This window comes from Homo sapiens, chromosome 13 (genome assembly GCF_000001405.40).
Source record: "Homo sapiens chromosome 13, GRCh38.p14 Primary Assembly".
Lineage (NCBI taxonomy): Eukaryota > Metazoa > Chordata > Mammalia > Primates > Hominidae > Homo > Homo sapiens.
In genome coordinates this window covers 69219282-69244667 of record NC_000013.11, presented here as the reverse complement: position 1 = coordinate 69244667, position 25386 = coordinate 69219282, and the positions used below count along the sequence as shown (strand labels likewise).

At 36.8% G+C, this 25386-nt stretch overlaps 1 long non-coding RNA gene across 1 annotated transcript in view, besides 2 other annotated features; it reads right to left on the bottom strand.

Annotated features, from left to right (window-relative positions):
- The window catches only part of LINC00383 (long intergenic non-protein coding RNA 383), a 99756-nt gene extending 77434 nt beyond the window's left edge, over positions 1-22322 (bottom strand). Inside the window, exon 1 of the long non-coding RNA NR_125752.1 lies at positions 22220-22322. This is a non-coding gene — a long non-coding RNA (long intergenic non-protein coding RNA 383). The remainder of the gene's footprint in view (positions 1-22219) is intronic.
- Positions 8695-9679: an enhancer, noted in NCBI's record as "NANOG-H3K27ac-H3K4me1 hESC enhancer chr13:69809121-69810105 (GRCh37/hg19 assembly coordinates)". NCBI's record gives its function as "activates a minimal SCP1, AML or CMV promoter by ChIP-STARR-seq in primed H9 embryonic stem cells {active_cell/tissue: H9 hESC(primed)}" and the evidence as "EXISTENCE:reporter gene assay evidence [ECO:0000049][PMID:30033119]".
- Positions 9680-10664: an enhancer, noted in NCBI's record as "OCT4-NANOG-H3K27ac-H3K4me1 hESC enhancer chr13:69808136-69809120 (GRCh37/hg19 assembly coordinates)". NCBI's record gives its function as "activates a minimal SCP1, AML or CMV promoter by ChIP-STARR-seq in primed H9 embryonic stem cells {active_cell/tissue: H9 hESC(primed)}" and the evidence as "EXISTENCE:reporter gene assay evidence [ECO:0000049][PMID:30033119]".
- Positions 22323-25386: the final 3064 nt, after the last annotated feature.

The window sequence follows — 25386 nt, the reverse complement described above, 5'->3', positions numbered from 1 at the left end:
CAATTATATACCAATTTATGGGCTGTGGTTTGGATGGATGGTGAGGGATTTGGAAATAACATGATTGGAAAATTGATGAGAAAAATATTGAGGGAAGAGCATGTGGATAGATTTCCCTCAGTGGGTAAAGACATAAAAATATTTGTGTCCCATGTGAATGTTCACCAAAAAAATGATCTCAGTAGAGGAGGACTTTAACAATCAAGTAAGCATAATGACTTATTCTGTAAATACCAATCAGCCTCTTTTCAAGCCATCACTACCACCCAATGAGCTCACAAAAAAAGTGGACATGGTTGGCAGGGATGGGGTTATTCAAGGGTTCAGCCACATGAATTTTCACTTACAAGACTGACTTGGCTATGGTCACCACTGAGTGCCCAATCTGCCAGCTGTAGAAATCAACATTAAGCCCTTGATATATCACCATTCACTGGGGGTAATCAGCTAGCTACCTGGTGGCAGGTTGATAACATTGAATATCTCTATTGTGGAATGGATAAGGTTTTGTTCTTACTGGGATAGACATTTACTCTGGACATGGATTTGCTTTCCTTGCACACAATGCTTCTGCCAAAACTACCATCCATAGACTTACAGGATGACTTATCCACCATCACGGTATCCCACAGGACACTGTTTCTGATCAAGAAACTTACTTCACAGCCAAAGAAGTCAGCAATGGGCTCATGCTCATGAAATTCACTGGTCTTACCAGGTTATCCTACCATCCTGAAGCAGTTGGCTTGATAGAAATTGGGAATGGCCTTTGGTAGGCTCAGTTACAGTGTCAGATAGGTGACAAAGCTTTGCAGGCTGCTGCAAGATTCACAAGAATGCTATAGATGCTCTGAGACAGCATTCAATATATAGTACAGTTTTTTTTTCATTGCCATAATTTAATGTTCCAGGAATCAAGGGTTGGAAATGAGAGTGATACAATTCACCGTTATCCCTAGTGACCTCCTAGCAAAATGTTAGCTTCCTTTTCCTACAACTTCATGCTCTGAGCTGGCCTAGAGGTCTTTGTGCCACAGGGAGAAGTGCTTGCACTAGGAGACACAACAATGATTCTATTGAACTCCAGGCTGTGACTGCCACCTGGCCACTTGTGGCTTCACATGCCTCTGAGTCAGCAGGATAAGGGGGAAGTAATGGTGTTTGCTGGAGTGATTGATCTAGAATATCAAGTGAATCTTGGATTGCTACTTCATAATGAAGGCAAGAAAGATTATATCTTTCTTGTAAGGAATACAAGAGATCCCTTAGGGTGTCTCTTAATGTTACCATGACCTGTAATTAAGATCAGTGGGAAATTATAACATCCTCATCCAGCCAGGACTACAAATTGCTCGTGCTGAGGAATGAAGTTTTCAGTTTCTCTACCTAGTAAAGAACCATGATTAGTTGAGGTGACGATTAATGCCATCCAAGAGTATAGAGTGGGAAGTAAAAGAATGTATGTAGTTTTAAATACCAGGTAAGATAATGTGACCAGTTACAGAAAAGAAGGCTTTGAGTACCGTCTATTCTTTCCTATTCTGTCACAAGTGCATTTATGTAAATATATGCATATATTAAGCAAATATCTTTTCCCCTCTTTTGTCTTGTACTGATATTTTCAGATATATTGGGTTTATATCACTATTTAAGTATGGATACTCAACTTACAAGGCAGTTATGTTCTGATAAACCCATGGTAAGCTGAAAATACCGTTAAGTCAAAATGCATTTATAATACACTGTAGAGTATCAGTTGTTTACTCTCATGGTAACATGGCTGACTGGGAGCTGTGATTCACAGCAGCTACCCAGCATTCTGAGAGAGTATGTACCACACTGATAGCCTGGGAAAAGATCAACATGCAAAATTCAAGGTACGGTTTCTACTGGATGCATACCACTTTCTCACTACCTAAGTTTTAAAAAAATTATAACTTGAACCATGACAAGTCAGGGGCCATTTTTATTGTTAATTTTTCCTCATGGTATTTAAGCTACCAACTATCAGGAGAGGAGTAAACATCACTCAAGGACCTTACCTCCTCTTCTGAGAAAGAGATTAGTGTGTTTCCAGTGTACATAGGGTAGTTGTATTATGCTAGGTGAAACTGTGACCTTGTTATTGTCTTCATTTGGAGATTAGGTACTATTTAAGGAGATACACATGAGTATCCAGGTAGATTTATTATGATTGCTTTGGGGGTGTCAAATCAGCTGAGAAAGCATGATTTATTCTCAATGCTTCAATAGGCACTGAGCCTGTCCCTCTTCTGCTGAAGGGTGAATTTGCTCACTCTTCTGGAGCTCAAACACTCTTTTTCTGCTGCCCATGGATGTTACAACTCCAGGTTCTCCAGCTTTTGGACTTTGGGACCCACACTATGGGCCCTCCAGACTCTCAGGCATTTGGACTTGGACTAAGTTACTGGTTTTCCAATTTGCAGATGGCCTATCATGAAACTTCTCAGCAACCATAATCAAGTGAACCAATTGCCCTAATGAATTTGTTTCATGTTTCCCTACACATCCTACTGGGTCTGTCTCTCTGAAGAACCTTCACTAAAACAGATAGTAAAGAGATATTCCTTATATGTAACAATTCTAATTTATTTAATGTAACTTATAATAATATTTTAAGTGACTTTTGATATTTGGCCAGTAATTCCAAAAAGTCATATTGAGTTTTAGCATACATGCATTTTACAATGAAAATTCTTGTTAAAATGCACAAATGGAACTTATTATTTTTCAGGTGTAGATTGATTTTGTGGAATATATAAAGAGGTGTAAAGAAACATCCCAAATTTGTTGCTTAAACTGATATGAATGTATACTTGCACTTTCAAATTTGATATGATGAGATATATTTGTGTACATGCTTAATGGGTGTTGGGCATAATTTAGCTACAGCCCTCAGAAGCTTTTTTAAAAATTTGGTAAAATTATATAAGACACTCAAATAATATTTTGAAATTTTTCAACTCTAAGTTATGACAAATTTATGTACAAATCTGTCATTTAGACTATAAATTGTAGATTAGTTTCACTCTATCTACTTACAGTAAAATTTTTAATGTGCTTAACAAAGTGTGGGTGAAAATACTTTGATCTACATTTCACACATTTTTCTAATTTTTAAAAATATTAAAATCAAGAGAAAATTAATTAAAAAGGATACCTCAGATCAAAATGTCACATAAATGTTGCCTATATATTGCAGATTACATTTCAAAACATTCATGTCTGCTTAGTACATAAATTATATCAAATCAGAATTCAAAACTATCAGATATGACATTTTATTCTTATTTTCAAAATTAGTATAAAACTTACACTCACAAAAAGGCAGCTATAAAATATTATTACAGTAGACCATTCATTTGCTGAAAATCTTTAGGAAGCAAAAACTACAAAATAACATTTTATAGTTTCTTTTTAAAATACATTCCATGTAATGTACTAAATACTACTCTTTATTACCACAAAAATATCAATTAAATTCAAGGAAAAATTTTTCTGTTGGAGGAAAAGATTTTCTTAAATGCTGATGGATGCATGATAAACTACTGAGGATAATTTGAAATCAATTTGAATTATTAATTATTGGATTTTTACAGGTTTGGATCAATATGTTCAAGATATAATAATAATATTTGAAAGCAGAAGCTGAAAAATCTTTTATGTAATCCTAAAAGAAAGGAAAAAGGGAATACTGACATCAGTTTTTATATTGTGAGAGAATCTTTAGCTGCTTATATATGGATTTATTTTTTAATGGACATTTACTTTTTCAGTTCTTAAATGTGATTAAAAAAAAATTTAGGCTCCTTGTCACTGATCTTTTTGTCACTATCCTTTTCTAGTTTATTTTTATATCAACTCATTTTAACTTGCTTTTTCCATGTCCATTTTTTTTCTCACATGGATAATTACTGTAATGTGTTAACAGCTACACTTTTGTTAATATGTGCTCTTTTAAAATATATATTGTATTTATGTGTAATGCGTTTGTATTTTCATCTTGTCCATTGCTGCTAATATAGCATACCTCATGGTATATATCCATATATGTATTTTCCATTGATGATTACCCAATTTTGTGGCTATTATATTTAGTTTGAGTTTAATAGAAAGATTTATGTTGACCACAATTATATGTAAGTATCATTCAGTTATTGCTGGTCATCCTCTTATGGTACTGTCTTCCCACTGTGCATTCTCATTTGGCATCATGATAGGCATGAGTGGGATGTATTGTGATTACTGTGACCTATGTCATCCAGCTCTGAATAATCTGAAATGCACAGAGCAAGAAAACACGGGATGGAATTTTTCCTTTATCATTGGATGTATAAAATTGCTTGAAAAACATGGTTCTCTTTTATATCTTTTCAAAATTGAAGTTCCCTTTGTCAGAAATACACTTGATAATGCAGTGTAAACAATCTAAATACACCTATTTATACCTTACGACAAAAATCAAGGAAAGTAGGATGCTTCATTTTTTGGAGAGTGCAGGTGCTATGCACAGTAGTATGTCTGTGTGTGAAATCTCATGTTTATGCATCTCAACGTATCATATCACAACTTACCGTATCTGACACAACTTGTTTTAAGGAGGACTTCCAATTACAAATTAAGTGCCATATAAGTCACTGCTGAAACAAAAAACTGCCTAAAGATAAAAATATTCAGTGATAAAAATTCTTACACATATCCATTAATAAGCAAATGCATATAATGTGGGGATAATTTGGTGACACGAATATATAGGCAGATATAGTATAAGGAAATCTTAAAATGCATTTGCCTACACACACACACACACACACACACACACACATACACAGATATGCATATAAATATGTATGTATATAAACATTTTAGAATATTTATAATTTTAAATAAATTACTGGTAATACCAAAATTCAAACATGTTGGTAATGTCTCAGGGGAAGTCAAAATGCAAACTGAATTGTGGTATTTTTCAGCTTTTTCAAAATTTGTGATTTGTTTTAATTTCTCTTTTCTTAAAATAAGTGCTTTTATAATTTGTATTTAAATTTTTTTTCCTTAAAAGGAGATATAAAAGTTACATATGCTTCAGACCTCATAAAATATGGATCTCTACTTGAAATATATTAATTTTGTTCTGTATCTGTAATACCACATTTTCTTTTGGCCTGTGGATTACCTTTTTTGTATAATTTCGTTTTTTAAAGTTAAAATCTGAATTTTCTGTAATTTCCCACATCTCTCATGGACTCTTCCTGTATTATTTCTCTTCCTATTTTAGAACTTACTGAAAATGTTTCAATGTAGAGCTTTTCATAGTACATAAATTATTGCACGTCTGAAAATACTTAAAATACAGAAATCAAAGATGGTAAAATATAGAATTCTAATTGCAAATCATTTTCTTTTAAGGCTAAATTTATTTCACCATTTTTTCTTTACCACTCTTTCTGAATCTACTCAGACAACTTTTTTATATGATCATTTATTTCTCCCTGAAATAATTTAAAATATTTTTATTAAAATTGAGGTCTTAACTTTATAACATGTTCAGGACATGGTTTTCTTTATCTCTCATTTGTAACTTCATACATAAATAAGGACATTCCTCTATTTTGACTCTTCATTTAATTTTAAATTATTTGTTCTGCCATTGAAAAACTATTAATAACTGCTTGAGACTTTCAATATCCTGATATTAGAATCTTTCCTTTTTCTCGCTCTTTACTTAATACTTATAAAAATATATTTTCTGTGAATCCCTTAATAATTTAATTTAATAATTTATTCACAGAATATATATATATATATATTTTCTTATTCTGCCTGACTCAACTTTATTCTGCCTTACTCAACATTATTATTCATGGTGTTATTATTACATCTAATTATTTCTTAGTTTTATGTAGTATTTTTCACAATTAGTATCTACTTTGTATTTTTAATGACTTTAGATTCTTGGATAACATTATTAAGTTAATTTTCTTAAATATAGCTAACATCTTTATTTTTAGTATATCTGCTTTTACAATTTCACTTTAGATAGCATTTACTATCGACAATTTGTATGTTATTATATGAAGGCATTTTATTACTTTGGTCTTGGTGCCTATTTTAGTGGAGACATTAGCTCTTCCTTCAGGGAGAGGCTAATGGAGAAGCACAGAAGGGCAGGACCTATTCTGTTTCACTTAAAGTGATTTTTCAAGAGGAAAGAGATGAGCCACTGAGCAGAACGTGAAGGTGCTACTGAATACTGTCTCGCTTACTACTACATCAAAGATAATTATCTGATAGTTAAATTTTTCTTGGAAGAAACCACATTTGAAAAATACATTCACTCTCATAGTCGTCCATCTGCCCTGGATATTTTGAGGATTAAATATTGAAGAAATAAAATCTAAAGGCAAACTCACTGAGTGTCACATATTTTCATCAGTTCTCAATACTAGCAGGGACTTCTGTGACTGTAATATTACCTATGCACTTTGACATATGGAATGCCAATCCTTTTGATAATGAAAGAACGCAGCTGAGAAGGAAAGATATTAAATATTGTAAACCAAAAACTCTCATTGCCGCCTGCAGAAGGCATCTGCTGAAAGCTCAAACCTACTTCCCCAACTCCAGGTTAAGTATACACATTAGAGTGATAAAAACAGAATTCAAATTGCTCTTGCAGTTTCTCACAAAACTGTTGTTGTTATGGTATTATTGTCATTGTTATTGTTTTTAATTGCATAAGGCCAAGCTCCTTTATTTTTTATTAATTTTTAAATAAAAATCGTATGTATTTAAGGTGTACAGCACTCTCAAGCTAATTAACATATTCATAACCTTATATAGTTGCCAGGTTTTGTGTGTGTATGTGTGGTTAGAGCACTGAAATCTACTCTCAAAGTTTTCAGTATATAATACAGAATTATTGACTGTAGTCATTGCAGCATTATTCGCAACAGCCAAGTTGTAGAAACAACCTTAAGTGTCTCTCATATTTTATTCAAACCAAGAATAGTTTATTTTCTTGACCTTTAAAAAATATATATACATATGTAAATATATTATTTATTCATATTGTCAACTACCCCAAAACTTGTATAATTTTTAAAAATATGCAATCCTGGATATGAAAGCCAAATAAAAAATAACCACAGGTTAGAAATAACAGATAAAATAACAATAAAACAAATAATAAAATTTCCAATTCCAGATTTCTAACAGTGGCAATCCCTTAATAATTTAAGATACTTATAACTTTAACTCTCTATTTGTAATTGGACTCCTGTGTTGTGAGCATTACAATAAATTAAGTCTCAGTGGTACATAATTTATTACTTATGCAGTTGTAAATTAAATGGAAAATAAATTAACTTCAACATGAATTTCTAAGTGTATTTTGTAGTACCTAGTTCAAGAAAAAGGAATTGCTATTAAAACTTTGAAATCATCCATTAAGTCAGATTTAAATCAGTCATGTTGAGAAGAGATGACAATATCATAGCACTTAAAACAATTATGCTCAAAATGTATATTAAAATTAATGTATATGTATGTGTAATGTAATTAAATATATTGCATAATACAAATGTAAATATATTTTAAAATAAAAAAACACTAATGAGATAAGAAATATTCCTGTTATGTAGGTATCTGGTGGAAAAATAAATTTATATGTTAGAGAAGATGTTGATGATATAGTTACATAGACATTTTACTTATGTTTAGAACTTCCCCTTTTATTTCACAGAAATAATATTGGAAGATACACATAACTTAAACTTTAAATTAAATAAATACATTAAGTATGAAGATAAAATTTTGTCTTGTAGACGAGGAGATTATTCTGAATTTTCTATATGGGCTCAAAATAATCACATAAGTTCATGTGAGTAAAGAAACTTTCCCAACTCTGGTAGGTGGAAGATGTGATTATGAACTATGGTCAGAGAGATGCAACACAGCTGGTTTTAAAGATGGAGTAAAAGGGCCACACGCCAAGGAATATTGGAAACTCTTAGAAGCTGGAAAAGGCAGAAACATAGATTTTCCCCAAAAGCCTCCAGAAAGGAATGTCCCAAATTTGCCTTTAGGCCAGCAAGACTTCTGTTGAACTTCTATGCTATAGAAATGCAAGATAATAAATTTGTTTTGATTTAAGCCATGAAATATACGGTGATTTGTTAAAGCAGACAAAGAAATCTAATATAAAGCTATCGATTTTCTCATTTTCTGTTTATTAAGAAGACCTGAGATATATATATAAAAGCAAACAGAGAAAATAAAAAACAATCAAAAAACCCTCTAGCTAAGAATTTTCAAAATTTATTTCAAAGATAAATGGTTTTCTAAAGATTTATATTAAAAAGGTGCTCCTATCAAATAAGTGTATTAAATTGAACATACAATTTACAGTTTTGAAGATCAAAATATATTTTGACATTATATAGCAAAATATTACCTATTATTATACATTTTATTATATGAAAATAGCTAGTATTGCTGCATTAAAGATACTGGTTTACTCTAGACAAATCTCAGACAAAATTGAAGGGCTGGAAAGATAGCCAACTAGACACAGCTGGGAAATGCCTTTTCCACAGAGAAGAGACAAAATATCCAGTAAACCATTACATTTTGAATGGATCTTTAAAGAGGAAAAATCAGAAATCAATAGAGAGGTGACAGGCACTGCAGTTTAACAGGGAGGAAGCTGGGAAGCCTGCATGGAGCCATTGGGTGCCAGGACTGGTCCCTGGACCCAGACTAGACCTAGAGTGAAAAAACCCTAGGACACTACATTCCCACTATGGACCTCTGAGATCCTAGTGACAGAAATTCCCAGACACCCATAGTCCTTTGGACTGGCAGAAGGAGCCACCTGGAGAACAAGTAGAGGCAAGCTTGAATCTACGCACAGCCTAGAAGGCTTCACTGTTTAACTGCAGTGAAATGCAATAGGCACCCATACCCATCTTTCACTCCATCTTTCACTGAGCGGGCGCAGCTCCTGCTCTCTGCCAAGCTAAGAGAGAGCAGGGCCACCATCGCTATGGGACTGAGGTGCTTCTGATCCCTGCACCCCTTTGCCTGCCAGCTCACAGCACAGCCTACACTGCCCCACTTGGATGTTTTACTGGCAGCCTAAGATCAGTTCATCCCCCAATTATGGATGGTGCTTGACTTTAAGGGGACAGAGGACAAAACTGTGGGCCAAGTCTCAACTCCCCAGTACTCAAGCACACCAGCTTGGGTTATCAAGCAAAAACGTATGCCTTGAGCTCAAGTAGGAGAAGAAATCTCACTGTCAGAACTCTGTGTGCCAGCACGGGAGATGGGCAGCACTGCTTTTGCAAGACCAGACTGGGATGGATAGGGCTTGATAGCTGTGGCTTCTCTCCCTGGGAAGCCACAGCCCAGAATGTCTGGAATGGCTCAGAAATCTGGGCACAGATGGCCTGGGACAAGCCTAACTTATTGGGAATGTTCCCGGGGCAGACACTGTTAGTAGAGCCCCTGGGTTCAGAGTGTGTGAGCTGGGCAGGCCCCACATCTGTCTGTGGGCTGAAAACACTGGGCTATGGGTATCATACTGGTTGAACATCCACAGTGCCTATGCCCAGCCTTGGGATCCCCTGCCCTAGAGCCACTGCATCACGAGACCACTAGCAAACATACCCCAAAACCCACTCTGACTTTGGCAAGCACGAGGGACTGGTAGATTTCTGGGGAGTCAGAGATCTCCTGGGGACCTAACCCTCAGTGTGTACCACCCCTACAGCAGAGGGAAGTACAGCCTGCTAAAGCCCCCTTTGGGGGAAAGGAAACACTGGCATAGTGCCAGCAATGAAGAGAATACAATGAAAGCCCAGAAATGGACTTGGAGAGCGAGTCTTCTCTTGTCCTCTTTTGTCTCCTCCCCAGAGCACTGTTGCAGATGCACTGAAATACAAAAAGTGTAAGCATGGCTGAGTGAGAGCCTGTGTGTTGGCCCTCACTCTTAAGCACCATCTACCAGACTGCAGTCTGAATTACACCACCAAACAAAAATAATTTGCTACAACATACAATGCCTATGAAACCTATAACAGGAATCTATCTACAATCAAGGAACCTGTACAGAGCTTTGGCTCCCTGAAAGCACCCAGAAACAAAGCTAATAAATTCCATACAACATACATCACAATCAGGCTATAAAGGGAAAAAAGAATAAAAATTCAAAAAGCTTCATCCAAATGACAGCAATTTCAAAAAGAGAAAGGAAGTGTCAGCTTCCTCAGATGAAAAGGAAATAGCTCAAGAATATTAGCAATACAATGAAAAGGAAATAGCTCAAGAATATTAGCAATACAAAAAGCCAGAGTGTTTTGTTGCTCCCAAAGATCACACTAGCTCCCTGCCAATAAATCTTACCAGATTGAAATATCTAAAATGGCAGATATAGAACTCAGAATCTGGATGGCAAGGAAACTCATAAAGATCCAAGAGAAGATTGGAAGTCAATCCAAGGGAAGCCAGAAAAATTATCCAAGACTTGAAAGCCAAGATAGCCACATTTAAAAAGAAGAAAACTGAACTTCTGAAATTAAAAAAAAAATTACTATAAGAATTTCAAAACACAGTTAAAAGTCTTAACAACAGACTAGACCAAGCTGAGTAAAGAATTTTGAAGCTTAAAGATGGGTACTTTGAATCAACCTAGTCAGACAAAAATAAAGAAAAAAAGATTTTTAAAAAATGAACAAGGCCTCTGCAAAAGGTGGGATTATCTAAAGTGACCAGACCTACAACCCATTGGTTTTTCTGAGAGAGAAGAAGAGAAAGTAGGTAACTTGGAAAATATATTTGAAGATACAATTCATGAAAATGTTCCCAATCTCACTAGAGAGGTTGACATACAGATACAAGAAATTCAGATAACTTTGAAAGATACTATACAAGATGATCATCTCTGAGTTATATAGTCATCAGACTACCCAAGGTCAATACAAAAAAAAATTAAAGGTAGCCAGAGAAAAGGGCCATATTACCTATTAAGGGAATCCCATCAGACTAACAGCAATTTCTCTGAAGAAGATTTACAAGCCAATAGATACTGTGGGCTTGTGTTTTTCAGCATCCTTAAAAAAAAAATCCATCCAAGAATTTTATACCCCAACAAACAAGCACAAGCAAAGGAGAAATAAAATCTTTTCTAGACAAGCAATTGCTAGTGGAATTCAGTGCCACCAGACTGGCCTTATAAGACACATTTAAGGGGGTTCCGAATATGGAAATGAAAAACAATGATACTGGCTACGACATCAACGACAACAAAAACACGCTAAGTACATAGCCCACAGACCCTATAAAGCAACTAAACAATCAAGACTACAAGCAACAGGCTAACAAAACCACACAGGAACAAAATTTCACATCATTTTTAACCTTGAAAGAAAATAGTCTAAAGATGCCACTTAAAATCAAAAAGTGGAATATTGGATTAAAAAACAAGACTTAATCTTATGCAGTCTTCAAGACAACCATCTCACATGTAATGATGCCCATAGTGTCAAAGTAAAGTGATGAAAAATGATCTATCGGCTGGTTGTGGTGGCTCATGCCTGTAATCCCAGCACTTTGAGAGGTCAAGGTGGGTGGATCACCGGAGGTCAAGAGTTTGAGGCCAGCCTGGCCAACATGATGAAACCCCATCTTTACTAAAAACATACTAGCCAAGCGTGGTGGCGGGTACTTGTAACCCCAGCTATTCAGGAGGCTGAGGTAGGAGAATCACTTGAACCCGGCAGTGGAAGTTACAGTGAGCTGAAACAGTACCATTGCACTCCAGCCTGGGCAAAAAGAGCAAAACTCCATCTCAAAAAAAAAAAAAAAAAATCTATCACAGAAACAAAAAACACAAAAAAGGAAGGGGTCACTATTCTTGTGTCAGATAAAACAGCCTTTAAGCCAGCAATGGTAAACAACAACAAAAACAACAACAACAACGAAAGTCATTCCATAATGATAAAACATTCAATTTAACATGAAGACTCAACTATCCTAAGTATATATTCCCTCAACATTGGAACAACTAGATTTATAAAATAATTACTTCTAGATCTAAGAAAAGATTTTGACACACAATAATAATGTACTTCAACACTCCATTGACAGCATTAGACAGATCATTATGGGATAAAACTAACAAAGAAATTCTGGACTTAAATTCAACACTTTACCAACTGGACATACTAGACAGCTACAGAATACTCCATCCAACATCCGAAGAATATACGTTCTTCTCATCTACAGAATGAACATACTCTAAAATTTACCACATGCATAAAGCAAGTCTGAACACATTTTTTTTTAAATGAAAATATACCAAGCCCCTTCTCAAACCATAGTGGAATAAAAATAGAAATGAATCCCAAGGGAAACTCTCAAAACTACACAAGTGTGTGTAAACTAAATGACTTGCTCCTTAACAATTTTCAGGAAAACAATGAAATTAAGGAACAAATCAAAAATTTATTTAAAAACATGAAAATAACACAACATAATAAATCTCTGGAATGCAGCAAAAGCAGTGTTAAGAGGAATGTTTGCAGCCAGGCACGGTGGCTCACGCCTGTAATCCCAGCACTCTGGGAGGCTGAGGCGGGCGGATCACAAGGTCAGGAGATCAAGACCATCCTGGCGAACACGGTGAAACCCCCGTCTCTACTAAAAATACAAAAAATTAGCCGGGCGTGGTGGTGGGTGCCTGTAGTCCCAGCTACTCAGGAGGCTGAGGCAGGAGAATGGCATGAACCCGGGAGGTGGAGTTTGCAGTGAGCCGAGATCATGCCACTGCACTCCAGCCTGGGCAACAGAGCAAGACTCCGTCTCAAAAAAAAAAAAAAAAAAAAGAGGAATGTTTGCAGCACTAAACACTTACCCCGAAAAGATAAGAAGATATCAAGTTAACAATCTGATGTCAAACCTAAAAGAACTAGAAAAACAAGAGTGAACTAAATGCAAACCTAGAGAAGAAAATAAGTGATTAAAACCAGGGCAGACCAAATAAAATTCACACCAGAAAAGACAACATACCAAAGGAAAAAAAAAGTTGTTCCCTTGAAAGGATTAATAAGAATGACAGAATGCTAGCTAGATTAACAATGCAAAAGAAAGAGAAAATCCAAATAAACACAATCAGAAATGACAAAGGTGATATTACAACTGATCCCATGGAAATGACAAAAGACGTTCAAGGGTTAAAATAATCAATCTTTATGCACAAAAGTTAGACACTTTAGAGGAAATTGACAAATTTCTGATAACATGACCTTCCAAGATTGAAAAAAAAAAATAGAAATACTTAGCAGACCAATAATGACTTACAAAATTACATCAGCATTAAACAGTCCTACCAAATAAAAAATGTTCTGGACCAGATGGATTCTCAGGGAATTCTACCTAGTATATAAAGAAGAGCTGGTCCCAATGTTAGTGAAACTATTCTAAAAAGAAAAAAAAAATCATGGAGGAGGGGATTCCCCCTTGACTCATTCTACAAAACCAGTATCATCCTGATATCAAAATCTGGCAAAGACAGAACAAGGAATACCACAGATAATATCCTTGATGAACACAGATGCAAAAATCCTCAGCAAAATATTAGCAAACCGAACCCAAGGGAACATCAAAAATATAACCCACCAAAATCAAGAGAGCTTTATTTCTGGGATGCGAGATTGGATCAACATATGCAAATCAATAAATCTGATTCACCATATAAACAAAATTAAAAACAAAAAACCATATGATCATCTTGACAAACAATAAAGCAATTGATGAAATCCACTGCTCCTCCGCTCCTTCATGATAAAAACCCCCAACAAACTAAGAATTGAAAGAACATATCTCAAAATAATAAGTACAACCTATGACAAACCCACAGCCAATAGCATACTAAATGGGCACAAGTTGGAAGCATTTCTATTAACAACTTGAACAAGCCAGTGATGTCCACTCTCACCACTCATATTCATCACAGTACTGGAAGACCTAGCCAGAGTGATCAGGCAAAAGAAAGAAATACAACTTCTTCTAATAGAAAAATAATTAGTCAAAATACATTTCTTCATTGATGCTATGACTCCATACTTAGAAAACCACAAAAGCTCTGCCAAAAGGTTCTGAGAATTTATACATGTCTTCAGTCAAGTTTCAAGATACAAAGTCAATGTAAAAAAATCAGTAGCATTTCCATACACCAATAATGTTCAAGCTGAGAGTCAAGTCAAGAATGCAATCCTATTTCAAATAGCCATAAAAAATACATAGAAATATAGCTAACCAAAGAGATGAACGATTTCTACAAGAAGAATTAGAAAACACTGATGACAGAAATCAGAAATGACACAAACAAATGGAAAACATTCCACACTCATGAATTGAAAGAATCAATATCATTAAAATGTTTATACTACCCAAAACAAACTACTAGATTTAACAAAATTCCTATCAGATTATCAACATTATTTTTCACAGAATTAGAAAAATCTAATCTAAAATTCAAATGGAATCAAAAAAGGGCCCTACAGCCAAAGAAATCTTAAGCAAAAAGAACCAAAGCCAGAGACCTCACATTACCTGAATTTAAACTACAAAGCTACAGTAACCAAAACAGAATAGTACTTGTTCAAAAACAGACACATAGACCAATGGAACATAATAGAGAAGCCATAATAAAGCCACACACATACAATCAACTTATCTTTGACAAACTCAACAAAAATAAACAATGGAGAAAAGATAGCCCATTCAATAAATGGTGCCAGAAAAACTTGCTACCCATATTCAGAAGAATGACACTTGACTCCTTCCTCTCATCATATACAACTATTAACTCAACATAGATTAAAGACTTAAATGTAAAACCTCAAACTGTCAGAATCCTAGAAGGAAACCTAAGACATACTCTTCTGAACATTGGTCTAGGCAAAGTATTTATAACGAAGTCTTCAAATGCAAATGCAACAAAACCAAAAATTGACAGTTGGGACTTAGTGAAACTAAAGAGCTTCTGCACAGCAAGAGAAACTATCAATGGGGTAAACAGATGACCTACAGAATGGGAGAAAATACTTTCACACTATGTATCTAAAAAAAGATCTAATATCTAAAATCTATAAGGAACATAAATTAACAAGTAAAAACAAGCAACCTCATTAAAAAGTGGCCAAAAAACATGAAGAGACACTTTTCTAAAGAAACTACACAAGGGACCAACAAACATGGAAAAATGCTCAACTTCAATAATAATCAGAGAAATACAAATCAAAACCACAATGAGAGATTCTATCACACCAGTCAGAATGGCTATTATTAAAAAGTAAAAAAAATGAAAATAGGTTTTGACCAGGCATGGAAAAAGGTGAATGCTTATATACTGTTGGTGGGATTGTAAATTACCTCAGTCCCTGTGGAAAGCAGTTTGAAAATTTCTCAAAGAACTAAAAATAGAATTACCATTTTGCCCACCAATCCCATTACTTTCTATATGCCCAAAGGAAAGTAAATTGTTCTATCAAATGCACCCCCAACAAAACCAAACACCTGCACTGGCATGATTATCATAGCACTATTCAAAATAGCAGACATGGAATCAACCTAGGTATCCATTGATGGTGGATTGAATAAAGAAAATGTGGTACATATATACCATGGAATATTACACAGCCATAAGAGTATGAAGTCATGTTTTGCAATTACACAGATGCAGCTGGAAGTCCTTATCTGAAGTGAATTAATGCAGAAACATAAAACCAAATAATGCATGGTCCCAGTTATACGTGGGAGCTAATCATTGGTGCACATGGACACAGAGATGGGAACATTAGACACTGGGGATTTAAGAAGAGGGGAAGGAGGGCGCGGGAACAGGGTTGAAAAACTACCTATCAGGCACTATGTTCACTCACTCATTGAGCTACAGAATCATTAGAAGTCCAAACCTCAGCATCACACAATCTACCCATGTAACAAACCTGCACATGTACCACTTGAACCTAAAATTAAAAAAAAATCAAAACACAAACAAAACAACACAATAGGAAACAAAAAATAGTCTAATTGTATCATATGCACACCACTAATATCTGAATATATAAAGAACTACTAAAAATTTAGGAAAGAAATACTGTCATTATTAAAAAATCTTTGGAATTTATAAACCATTAGTTCTCAAGTAAATCAATGCAAATTATTGTTGTCTATGGAGAAAATGTTCAGTAACACTCATGATAAGAAAATGCATATCCACAATTAACAAGGATGCAATTTCCCATTTATCAAAAATTCAGAAGCTTGACAAGTCCTATAGATAGTTGTGGGAAAATCGGCACTCTCATATATCACTTGTACATATAAAAAATGAATGATGACATTTTTATTTAGGAGTATTTATTAATATATAGTGAAATTATAGATGTATTTTCTCTGACCAAGTAATCTCAGTTTTGAAAATCTGGTTTTAAAAATTCTAATATATTTAATAACATAAATATATATGTGGTAGCTCTACTGAAATAGACAAGTGGAGACTAGAAGAAGCTTGAAGACAAATCCATCACAAATGCATTGAACAAAATATGGTATGTATTTTAGGATAAATAAAGACTTAATGAGGAAAGTTTTTAATGTAAGATTTTAGCTGTATTAGTTTTCTAAGGCTGCTATAAAAAAATACCACAAAATGGATGACTTAAAACAACAGAAATATATTTATTTACAATTCTGGAGATTAGAAGTCTAATAAAGGTGTTGGCAGGCTCATGTTCTCTCTGACGGTTCTAGGGGAAGATACTTCCTTGCCTTTTTCCAGCATCTGACAGTTGCTGCCAATCCATAGCATTCCTTGGCTTGCAGCTGCATAACTCCAGTCTTTGTTTCCATTGTCGCGTGTTTTTCTTCCCTCTGTTTGCCTCTGTGTCTCTTTTTTTTTTTCTTATTGAGACTCCAGTGATTAGACTAGGGTTGACCTTAATCTAGTGCAGGCTCATCTTAACTTGATTACATCTGAAAAGATCCTACTTCCAAAATGGTATGATGTAAATGTTTTTGTGCCATGTGAATGTCCACCAAACAGTGATCTCAGCAGAGAGGGACTTTAATAACCAAGTGGACAGAAAGACCCATACTTTGTGTACAAGTCAGCCTCTTTCCCCAGCAACTCCTATCATTACCAAGAGGACTCATGAACAAAGTGGCCATGTTAGTAAAAATGGAGGTTATGAATGGGCTCAGCAAAATAGAGTTCCACTCATCACGGCTGACCTGACTATAGCCATTGCTAAGTGTTCATTCTACAAGAATCAGAGACCACCGCTGATTCCCTGATATGAGAGTATTCCCTGGTGCAATCAGCCAGCTACTTGGTAGCAGGTCTATTGCACTGCATGACTTCCATCATGAAAGGGCAGTGCTTTGTTTTTACTGAACTAGATATTCACCTGAATATAGATTTGCTTTCCTTTCATGGAATGCTTCTGTCAAATCTACTGTCTGTTGATTTACAGCTAGAAAAGAAGGCCCGAGAGTCCCTGGCAAACCACTGGTGTAAGTCCAAGAGTCCAAAAGCAGAAGAACTTGCAGACTGATGTTTGGGGGCAGGAAGCAACCAGCATAGAAGAACGAAGAATACTAGAAGACTCAGCAAGTCAGCTCCTTCCACCTTCTTCTGCTTGCTTTATTCTAGCTGCTCTGGCAGCTGATTACATGGTGCTCACCCAGATTGCGGGTGGGTCTGCATCTCCCAGTTCACTGACACAAATGTTAATCTCCTTTGGCAACACCCTCACAGACACACCCAGGAACAATACTTTGCATCCTCAGTCAAGTTGACACTCAACATTAGCCATCACAAGTCCATCCCTTGTCAACTTGAACCCATACACATCTCCTGAAATTACACATAATCTTCAAATAAAGACAATAATGATGTCATAATTACACCTAACTTAATACGGCTATCCTTCATACAACCAGAAGTGAATTATTAACCGAAATGCTATTACATAAAGTTAATAACACTTAACTGCTGATATGAAGTTAATAATGTCACTTGATAAGGGAAAAGCAAAGGAAATAAATAAAGGTATTTTCTTAGTAGAAGTGTATACATGCACAAACATGTAAGGAGGAAATCCACATGACAATTACAGGTCTCATTTCTGCAACTGGTCTTGTGGTCATAGCTGGTATTGATGACTACCTTTTTCTACTAACCATTCTGTATTCCCTTTGCCTTCAGCTAGCACCTCAGCAGGCTGTTATTTTTTTACCTGGTGAAGTCACCCAACCCTTCATTCCTGAAGAGTCTGGGCCATTTGTAGTCCTGCCTAGATTGGATTGTTGTAGTTTTCCACTGACCTTAATCACAGGGCATGGTAGTACTAAAAGACGGCCTAAGGGATCTCCTGTATTCCACACATATTCTTCCTTACCTCCACTGTGGAGTAGTAACCTGATTTCATCTTGATAGTCCAGGTCAATCACCCAAGTCAACACTGTAACTCCTTTCTTGACCTGTTGACTTAGAGGTGGGAGGAGCCCAAAGTGGCCAGGTGGCAATTTTAACTTTCAGTTTAATGGTATCATTCTTGTGTCGACTGGTGGCAGAATTCTTCCCTCTGGAACTAAGGCCAGCAGAACATAATGTTGGGGGAACTGGAAGTAAAATTTTTGCTAGTGGGTCACTAGGAGTGATGGTGAGTGGTGCCACTTCTACTTCTACCCCTTGATTCTTAGGCCTGTGAATGCTGGCTATGAGGGAAACAGTACCATATATTGGATGCTGATTCAGGACATACTCAGCCTTCAAGAGAACTTTGCCGAGCCCTGCAAAGTATTGTCACCTAGTTGGTGGTGTAATTGTGATTTCAAATGGCCTTTCCACTGTTCTATCAATCCAGCTGCTTTAAGATAATGGGCAACAAGATACAATCAGTGAATTCCATGAGCATGAGCCCACTGCCACACTTCCTTAGCTATAAAATAAGTGCCTTGTTTAGAGGCAATGCTGTGTGGAATGCCATGATGGTGGATAAGGCTTTCCATGAGTCCACAGATGGTACTCCTGGCAGAAGCATTGCCTGCAGGATAGACAAACCCATATCGAGAATAAGTGTCTATTCCAGGAAGGACAAACCACTGCCATTTCTCTGATGAAAGATGTCCAATATAATCAACCTGCCATCAAGTAGTTGGCTGATCACCACAAAGCATGGTGCCATATGAAGGGCTCAGTGTTGGTCTTGCCTGCTGCCAAATTGGGCACTCAGCCGTACTCCAGGCCTAAGTCGGACTTTTGAAGTTTTTTTCTAATGTCTGCAGCTAACTGAGTGACAAACTTATCCTTTAAGATTAGTTGGCCTTCAATAGAGTCAGGTGACAGGGAGGTATGCTTCCTTAATGCCTCCCTTACTCTCTCCAGAAAGGCAGTAGGATTTTCTTCCTTTCCTTGTGTTATAGTGGACATCACTGAATAATTCATAGGCTTCTTCCTAGTTTTCCTTAGTCCTTCTAGCACTCAAGTTAGCAAATATCTGTGGCACCAATCTCCATGTTCTGATTCTGTGTCCTAATGAGGGTCTACACTGGAAACTGCCTGCTGGCCTGTGGGGAATCGTTCTCTTTTCTCTGTTGTCATCCTATCATTGACCTGACTGAGATACCAGAGATCACCAAACTCTCGGGCTGCAGTTACGGCGGCACTTCTCTCATTTGGGGTTAGTGTCTGATTTAGCAGTAACATTATATCTCTCCATGTCAGATCAAAGGATTGCCCTAACCCTTGTAAAACATCAATGTAGCCATCAGGGTTATCTGAGAATTTACCTAAGTCTATTTTAATTTGCGTTAAGTCTGAGAGAGAAAAAGGTACATGCACTCTGGCTGGGCCGAATTCTCCTCCTCCCACTGCTTGGAAGGGGCATAATCGGGGAATACTGACACTCTTTGGTTCATTGTTTACCTGTTTGTCTATCTCCTTTTGGACTGTTTGGGTTCAAGGGTGGTGCTTATTAGTTGGGGAAGGAGTCGGGGGAATGCTGGGATAGGGAGGTAGACTCTGAGGGCTTCCTGTAAGACATAAACCACACTTTTTACATAATTGTGAGTTGTCTCTTAATGAAAAGAAAGTTTGCACATATGGCACTTCACTCCATTTGCCTTCTTTTCTACAAAAGAGGTCTAGCTGTAAGATGGTGTTATAATTTGTACTTCCCTCAGGAGGCCAGGTTTCTCCCCCTTGAAGAGGATATCGTGGCCAGGCAGTACTGCAGAAGAATATAAGTCGTTTCTTTCTTGACATCTGAGGGTCAAATTGGTTCTAATTCTCCAGAATACATCTTAGGGGCGCTTTTGCCTTGGGGGGAACGTTTCCCATCTGAAGAAAGAACATAAGGATGCCAGCACCCCTAGTCATTTTCCGATGAGCATTAGTCCTAGAGCATCCTCTAAGGGCCTAATGCTTATTCTTTTCCAGCGTGCATAACCACTCATGGACCTCTGCTTATTGGATTAGTTACGCTCACCAATGTAGCAGTTCTGCACTCCTTTTCCTGCCTTTCTTGACCACAAAGAAAGGGGCCTGGGCTGCTGGATTCTAGTGGTCCTTTACCAGCGTGCCCAACATTGCCTTTGCGCTCAGCGGTGAGTCCTAGAGCTGGGCTGGGTTCCTGAGTATTTCATAACAACCCAGCTGCCCCATCAAGATGCATTCCCATAAACAACAGTTCTTCTGCAAATTCATTTCAGAGACTGTGTAGCTAACCTTTTGAGTCAGGATTGAGATAGTCTTTTGATTCTGTAAGTACTTTAAGGCTTGGCTGAGTGCAAACAGCTCGCACATTTGAGGAGACCAATTATTAGGCAAATTTTTAACTCTGCTTCCACAAGAGTCTCCATACCAATTACTGAATACCCATTGTAGTTTTTTCCTCAGTCACCTGGGAGGAACCATCTATCGTCCTGTGCTGAAGGGAGTTCCTCCTAGGTCTGGTCGGACCTTCGTGTGGTAATTAAGATTTAAATCCCCTGTTAGGAAATCTGCTGGGTTAAGGGAGTTATCAGTGGTTGGAGTTACATTACCCTTTTCTAGCATAGTAGCCCCATACTTTAAGATTATTGAGTTAGTAAGCTACCTTTTTGCTTTTTTTTTTTTTTTTTTTTTTACTTAGAATAACTCTGAACTGGTGAGGTGTGCTCACAATGAGGTTTCCTCTAAAAGTTACTTTTCTACTTTTAGCAAAGCTGTTGCCGCTACCGACTGAATGCATTTGGCCTATCCGCGGGTTACTGGGTTAAGGATTTGCTACGCCCTTATTTACACTGACAACAAAGTGGCAATTATCAATTACAGGTTTTAAATTTACCCTGGCTTTTAAAGGAATAGGGCACACTTTTTTTTTTTTTTAACTATTTCTATCTTTTTCTTTCTTTTTCTCTTTGACTCCCTCTTTGTCTCTTTCTCCGTCTCTCTCTCTCTCCGTCTCTCTTTCTTAGCCATTACAAACTTGGGGCCCTCACAAGGGTGGTGGGGAACAGGTCCCACATAACTGCCCATGTCAAGAGCTGTATACCTAAATCGGGAGGGATACCAGGGATAAGACTCCCTGGGTTATAGCCTAGGTGCCTAAGGACACAGCATAGAGCCTCCTTAGATCCCTTTGGAGACACAACTTGCTAGAGGAAATGAAAGTCTGAACTATTAGTACCTAGGAGGCAGGAGGCAGGGATCAAAGGAAGTAGATTCAGAGGTAAGGAGAATTTTGGGGCTAAACTCTCAAGAAAGTCGGAGTCGGGACCCCGGAGGTATAATTCAGAAGGAAAGGTAAGGGCGCACGCATGGGCGACTGCCGAGTAGAGACTTCTGGCTGCGCCATGATCTCAACCGGCTACTGCCGGGAGTTCGGGACAACAGCTTTCTGCCTCCAGTCAGCCCTTGGCTTCCCCAAGAAAATTGAAAGTGGAAGCTGGCTCCAGGCAGACCAAAGTTCCCAACAGAAGGCTTGGGGGTTGTTAGAAAGCCCTTTCCCAGATAGCCTCACACCTGAGTCTTAAGTCCGGCGGCCATGCTAATCATTTTTAACTGGCGACAGGTGCCCAGTATTTTCCTCCAGTTCTAAGGATAGAACAGAATAGCAAGCGAAAGTGGTCCAATATTACTCACAGCTTTGGATGTCCCTTCGTGGTCGCCAAAATGTTACCAGGGGTCCTTGTTCACAGAACTCCCAAGACGGTGGTGAGCCACTTCCAAGATGGTGGCAGGCTGCTTCCAAGATGGTGGCAAGCCTCGTGTTCTCTGACCTGGGGTTCTTGGCCTCACGGATTCCAAGGAATGGAATATTGGGCCATGTGGTGAGTGTTATAGCTCTATTAGAAGCCGCGGGTCATGGAAGAGAACCGTGGAACCCAGTGACTAGTGTTCAGCTGGATTAGGACGAACCCAGGCACTTAGCCATGCAGGAACAATGGCAAGCCTTTAGCACTATCGGGAGTGGCAATGGGAGTCTTGCTGGATCAGGAGCACAGCGGACACCCTGCCGGATCCGGAGGGATGGGAGTCAGCAGCGGGATGGGAGTCAGCGGCGGGTCTGTGACAGCAGCAAACAGTAGTGGTGGACGGCAAGTGAAAGCTCAGCTCAAGCCGTGACAAATATGGACCAGAAGAGTGCAATTGCAAGATTTAATAGAGTGAAACACAGTGAAAACAGAGCTCCTATACAAAGGGAGGGGACTCAAAGGAGGTTGCCGTTGCTGGCTCAAATGCCTGGGTTTATATCCTGGTCCTTGTCCCTCCCACTGTGCTCTCAGGCAATAGATGACTTGCTATTTCTTTACCTCCTGTTTTTGCCTAATTAGCATTTTAGTGAGCTCTCTGATTGGTTGGGTGTGAGCTAAGTTGCAAGCCCTGTGTTTAAAGGTGGATGCGGTCACCTTCCCAGCTAGGCTTAGGGATTCTTAGTCGGCCTAGGAAATCCAGCTGTCTCTCACTCCCACATGTCCCCATTCCAAGTTTTAGGGTTCCATTCTTTTCCAATTAATGCCCTCACTTTAACAGTAGACACCTGAGGAGAGTGAGCATGCATCTTTCATTGCAGGCCAGCCACTCACATGATAAGAGCTTGTGTCTGATTTTCCCCAATTACATAATTCTTTAGCATGCATCATGTTTGAGAAAACATTGCTTCTGACCAAGGATATCAATTCACAGCAAAGTGTGGCAATAGGCCTAGGATCCTGGTATTTATTGATCTCATTTTGTTACCCAACATACTGAAACAGCTGGCTTGAGAGAATGATAGAATATTCTTTGGAAGACTCACCAGTTGCCATTTAGGTGGTAATACTGTATAGTGCTGTAATAATGTCCTCCAGGAACCTTTATATGCTATAAATCAACTTCCCATACATGGCGCTGTTACTCCTAAAGCCCAGATTCATAGGCATAAAAATTAACATGTGGAGATTAAACACCATTACCATTGGTGATTATTGAAAAATGTTGCTTCCTTTCTCCAGGATCTTATGCCCTGCTTAGTTTCAAAGGGAGCAATGATTCCATCAGGAAATAAAATGATAATTCCACTAATTTCTAAGTTAGGACTTCCATTCATTTACTTTGGCCTCCTTATTTCTTTGAATCTTAGTAATTTTCCTGGACTTCATATATTTCTTGCTATGTATTTAACTCAATGTTATCTTATGAAATTCTGAATCTGACTGTTACTTCCCCAATCTAACTAGAAATTTAGAACACTTTAACTTTCCTCTGGTGTCTCCTTTCTTCTTGTTCACATACTTGAAATCTCAGGTTTTAGCTATATCTTATTTTCTACCCATTCAATTTTAATACTAATTCCAATTTTCTTTGCCTACAAAGTGTTGTCAGTTACTACGTCCATCTTTGAGTCTTGTGTTCAGTTTTTTTCCTTCTGAATTTAACATTTTTCTTTCCTGAATTTCCTATTAAAATAGTTATATAATAAGGTCTTTAGTAAGAACAGCTAGGTAAAGTATTCTAAACAATATTTCACTCTTAGTTCTTGGGCATTTCCCTCTATTGCTACTGATTAGCCTTTTGTAGGTCTATTTTCTATTATTCCATTAAAAATATATGCTTTGTAATTCTATTCTGTGGATACTTTTTTCTTTGTAATATTCTGCATTTTTGTATTTTTTGGTCTTGTTTGCTTACTCTTTTCAATCTGAATGTCTTTTCAATCCTAGAATATTCTTCAGCACTATGTATATATACACACACACGTGTGTATATATATGTGAATATGTGTGTGTATATATATACACACATATATAGTTTTGAAGAATATTCTAGAATTGAATATATATATATATATCTCATTCTAGAAGCAAATAATTGAGAAATGGAAAATTTATTATTTTATTTATTTTTTAAAATATTTTAAAACATAGTTATACACACACATATGTGGTCTTTTAGAATACACGTCTAAATATCCATCTGTATCTATCTATCTATCTTTAATCACTCACAGGGTTTTTATTTGTCAAGTGCCCCAACTGACTTCTTAAAATTTCCTATCTCTATGCCTAACGTGTTTTGTTGCGTTTGAGCTCTTTTCACCAAGCTGTCTCATCTATTACTTTTCTTTCCATGTTTACATTTATATCTCCATGTTTATATTCATGCTATTTTATTTTACATTTTTGTATATTTCTTGATTACATTCTGTAATATATTTTTTCCAGGATGATTCTCTCTGATTATTGGCTTCTGAGTGGTCCCTAAGAGAATGTATTGTTTGCTATTAGTAATTTCTTATACTTTATAAGTCCTGGAGCAGCTACCTTTGTTATCTAATGAGTGCAATTTTTGTCCTTCCCTCACTGATTAGAAAGCATTCATAGGGATATAAACAGCAGCAAAGGTAATAGCTACTTCAACTCTTTTTCACTGCCTTGGCTTTAAACTTCTTTTGCAATTCAGGTCCTCAGGAATTTATTTTATTCTTTTATCTGAAATATGAAAGAAATCTTGTATATTTATATATACATATTTAATATATGTAAAAAGTATAAAACATATAAATGTACTTATATGTAAATACATACATAATCTGTAGCTTTTGCCTTGTTTGCAACTGGTTTTATTTTAAGGCCACTTTGAGGAAACATGAAGGTCTAGTTATAGATTTATAGCTCAGTTATAATAAATATTTAAAATGTCTGTATTCATTATAGGCTAAATCAGAATTTCAGGTCAGTAGAAGTATTTTCTAAATTGTTTTAATATGATTCTTGCTATAAACTGTGGAGAATAAAAGTAAGAAAGCAGCATAATTAACAGGGACATTT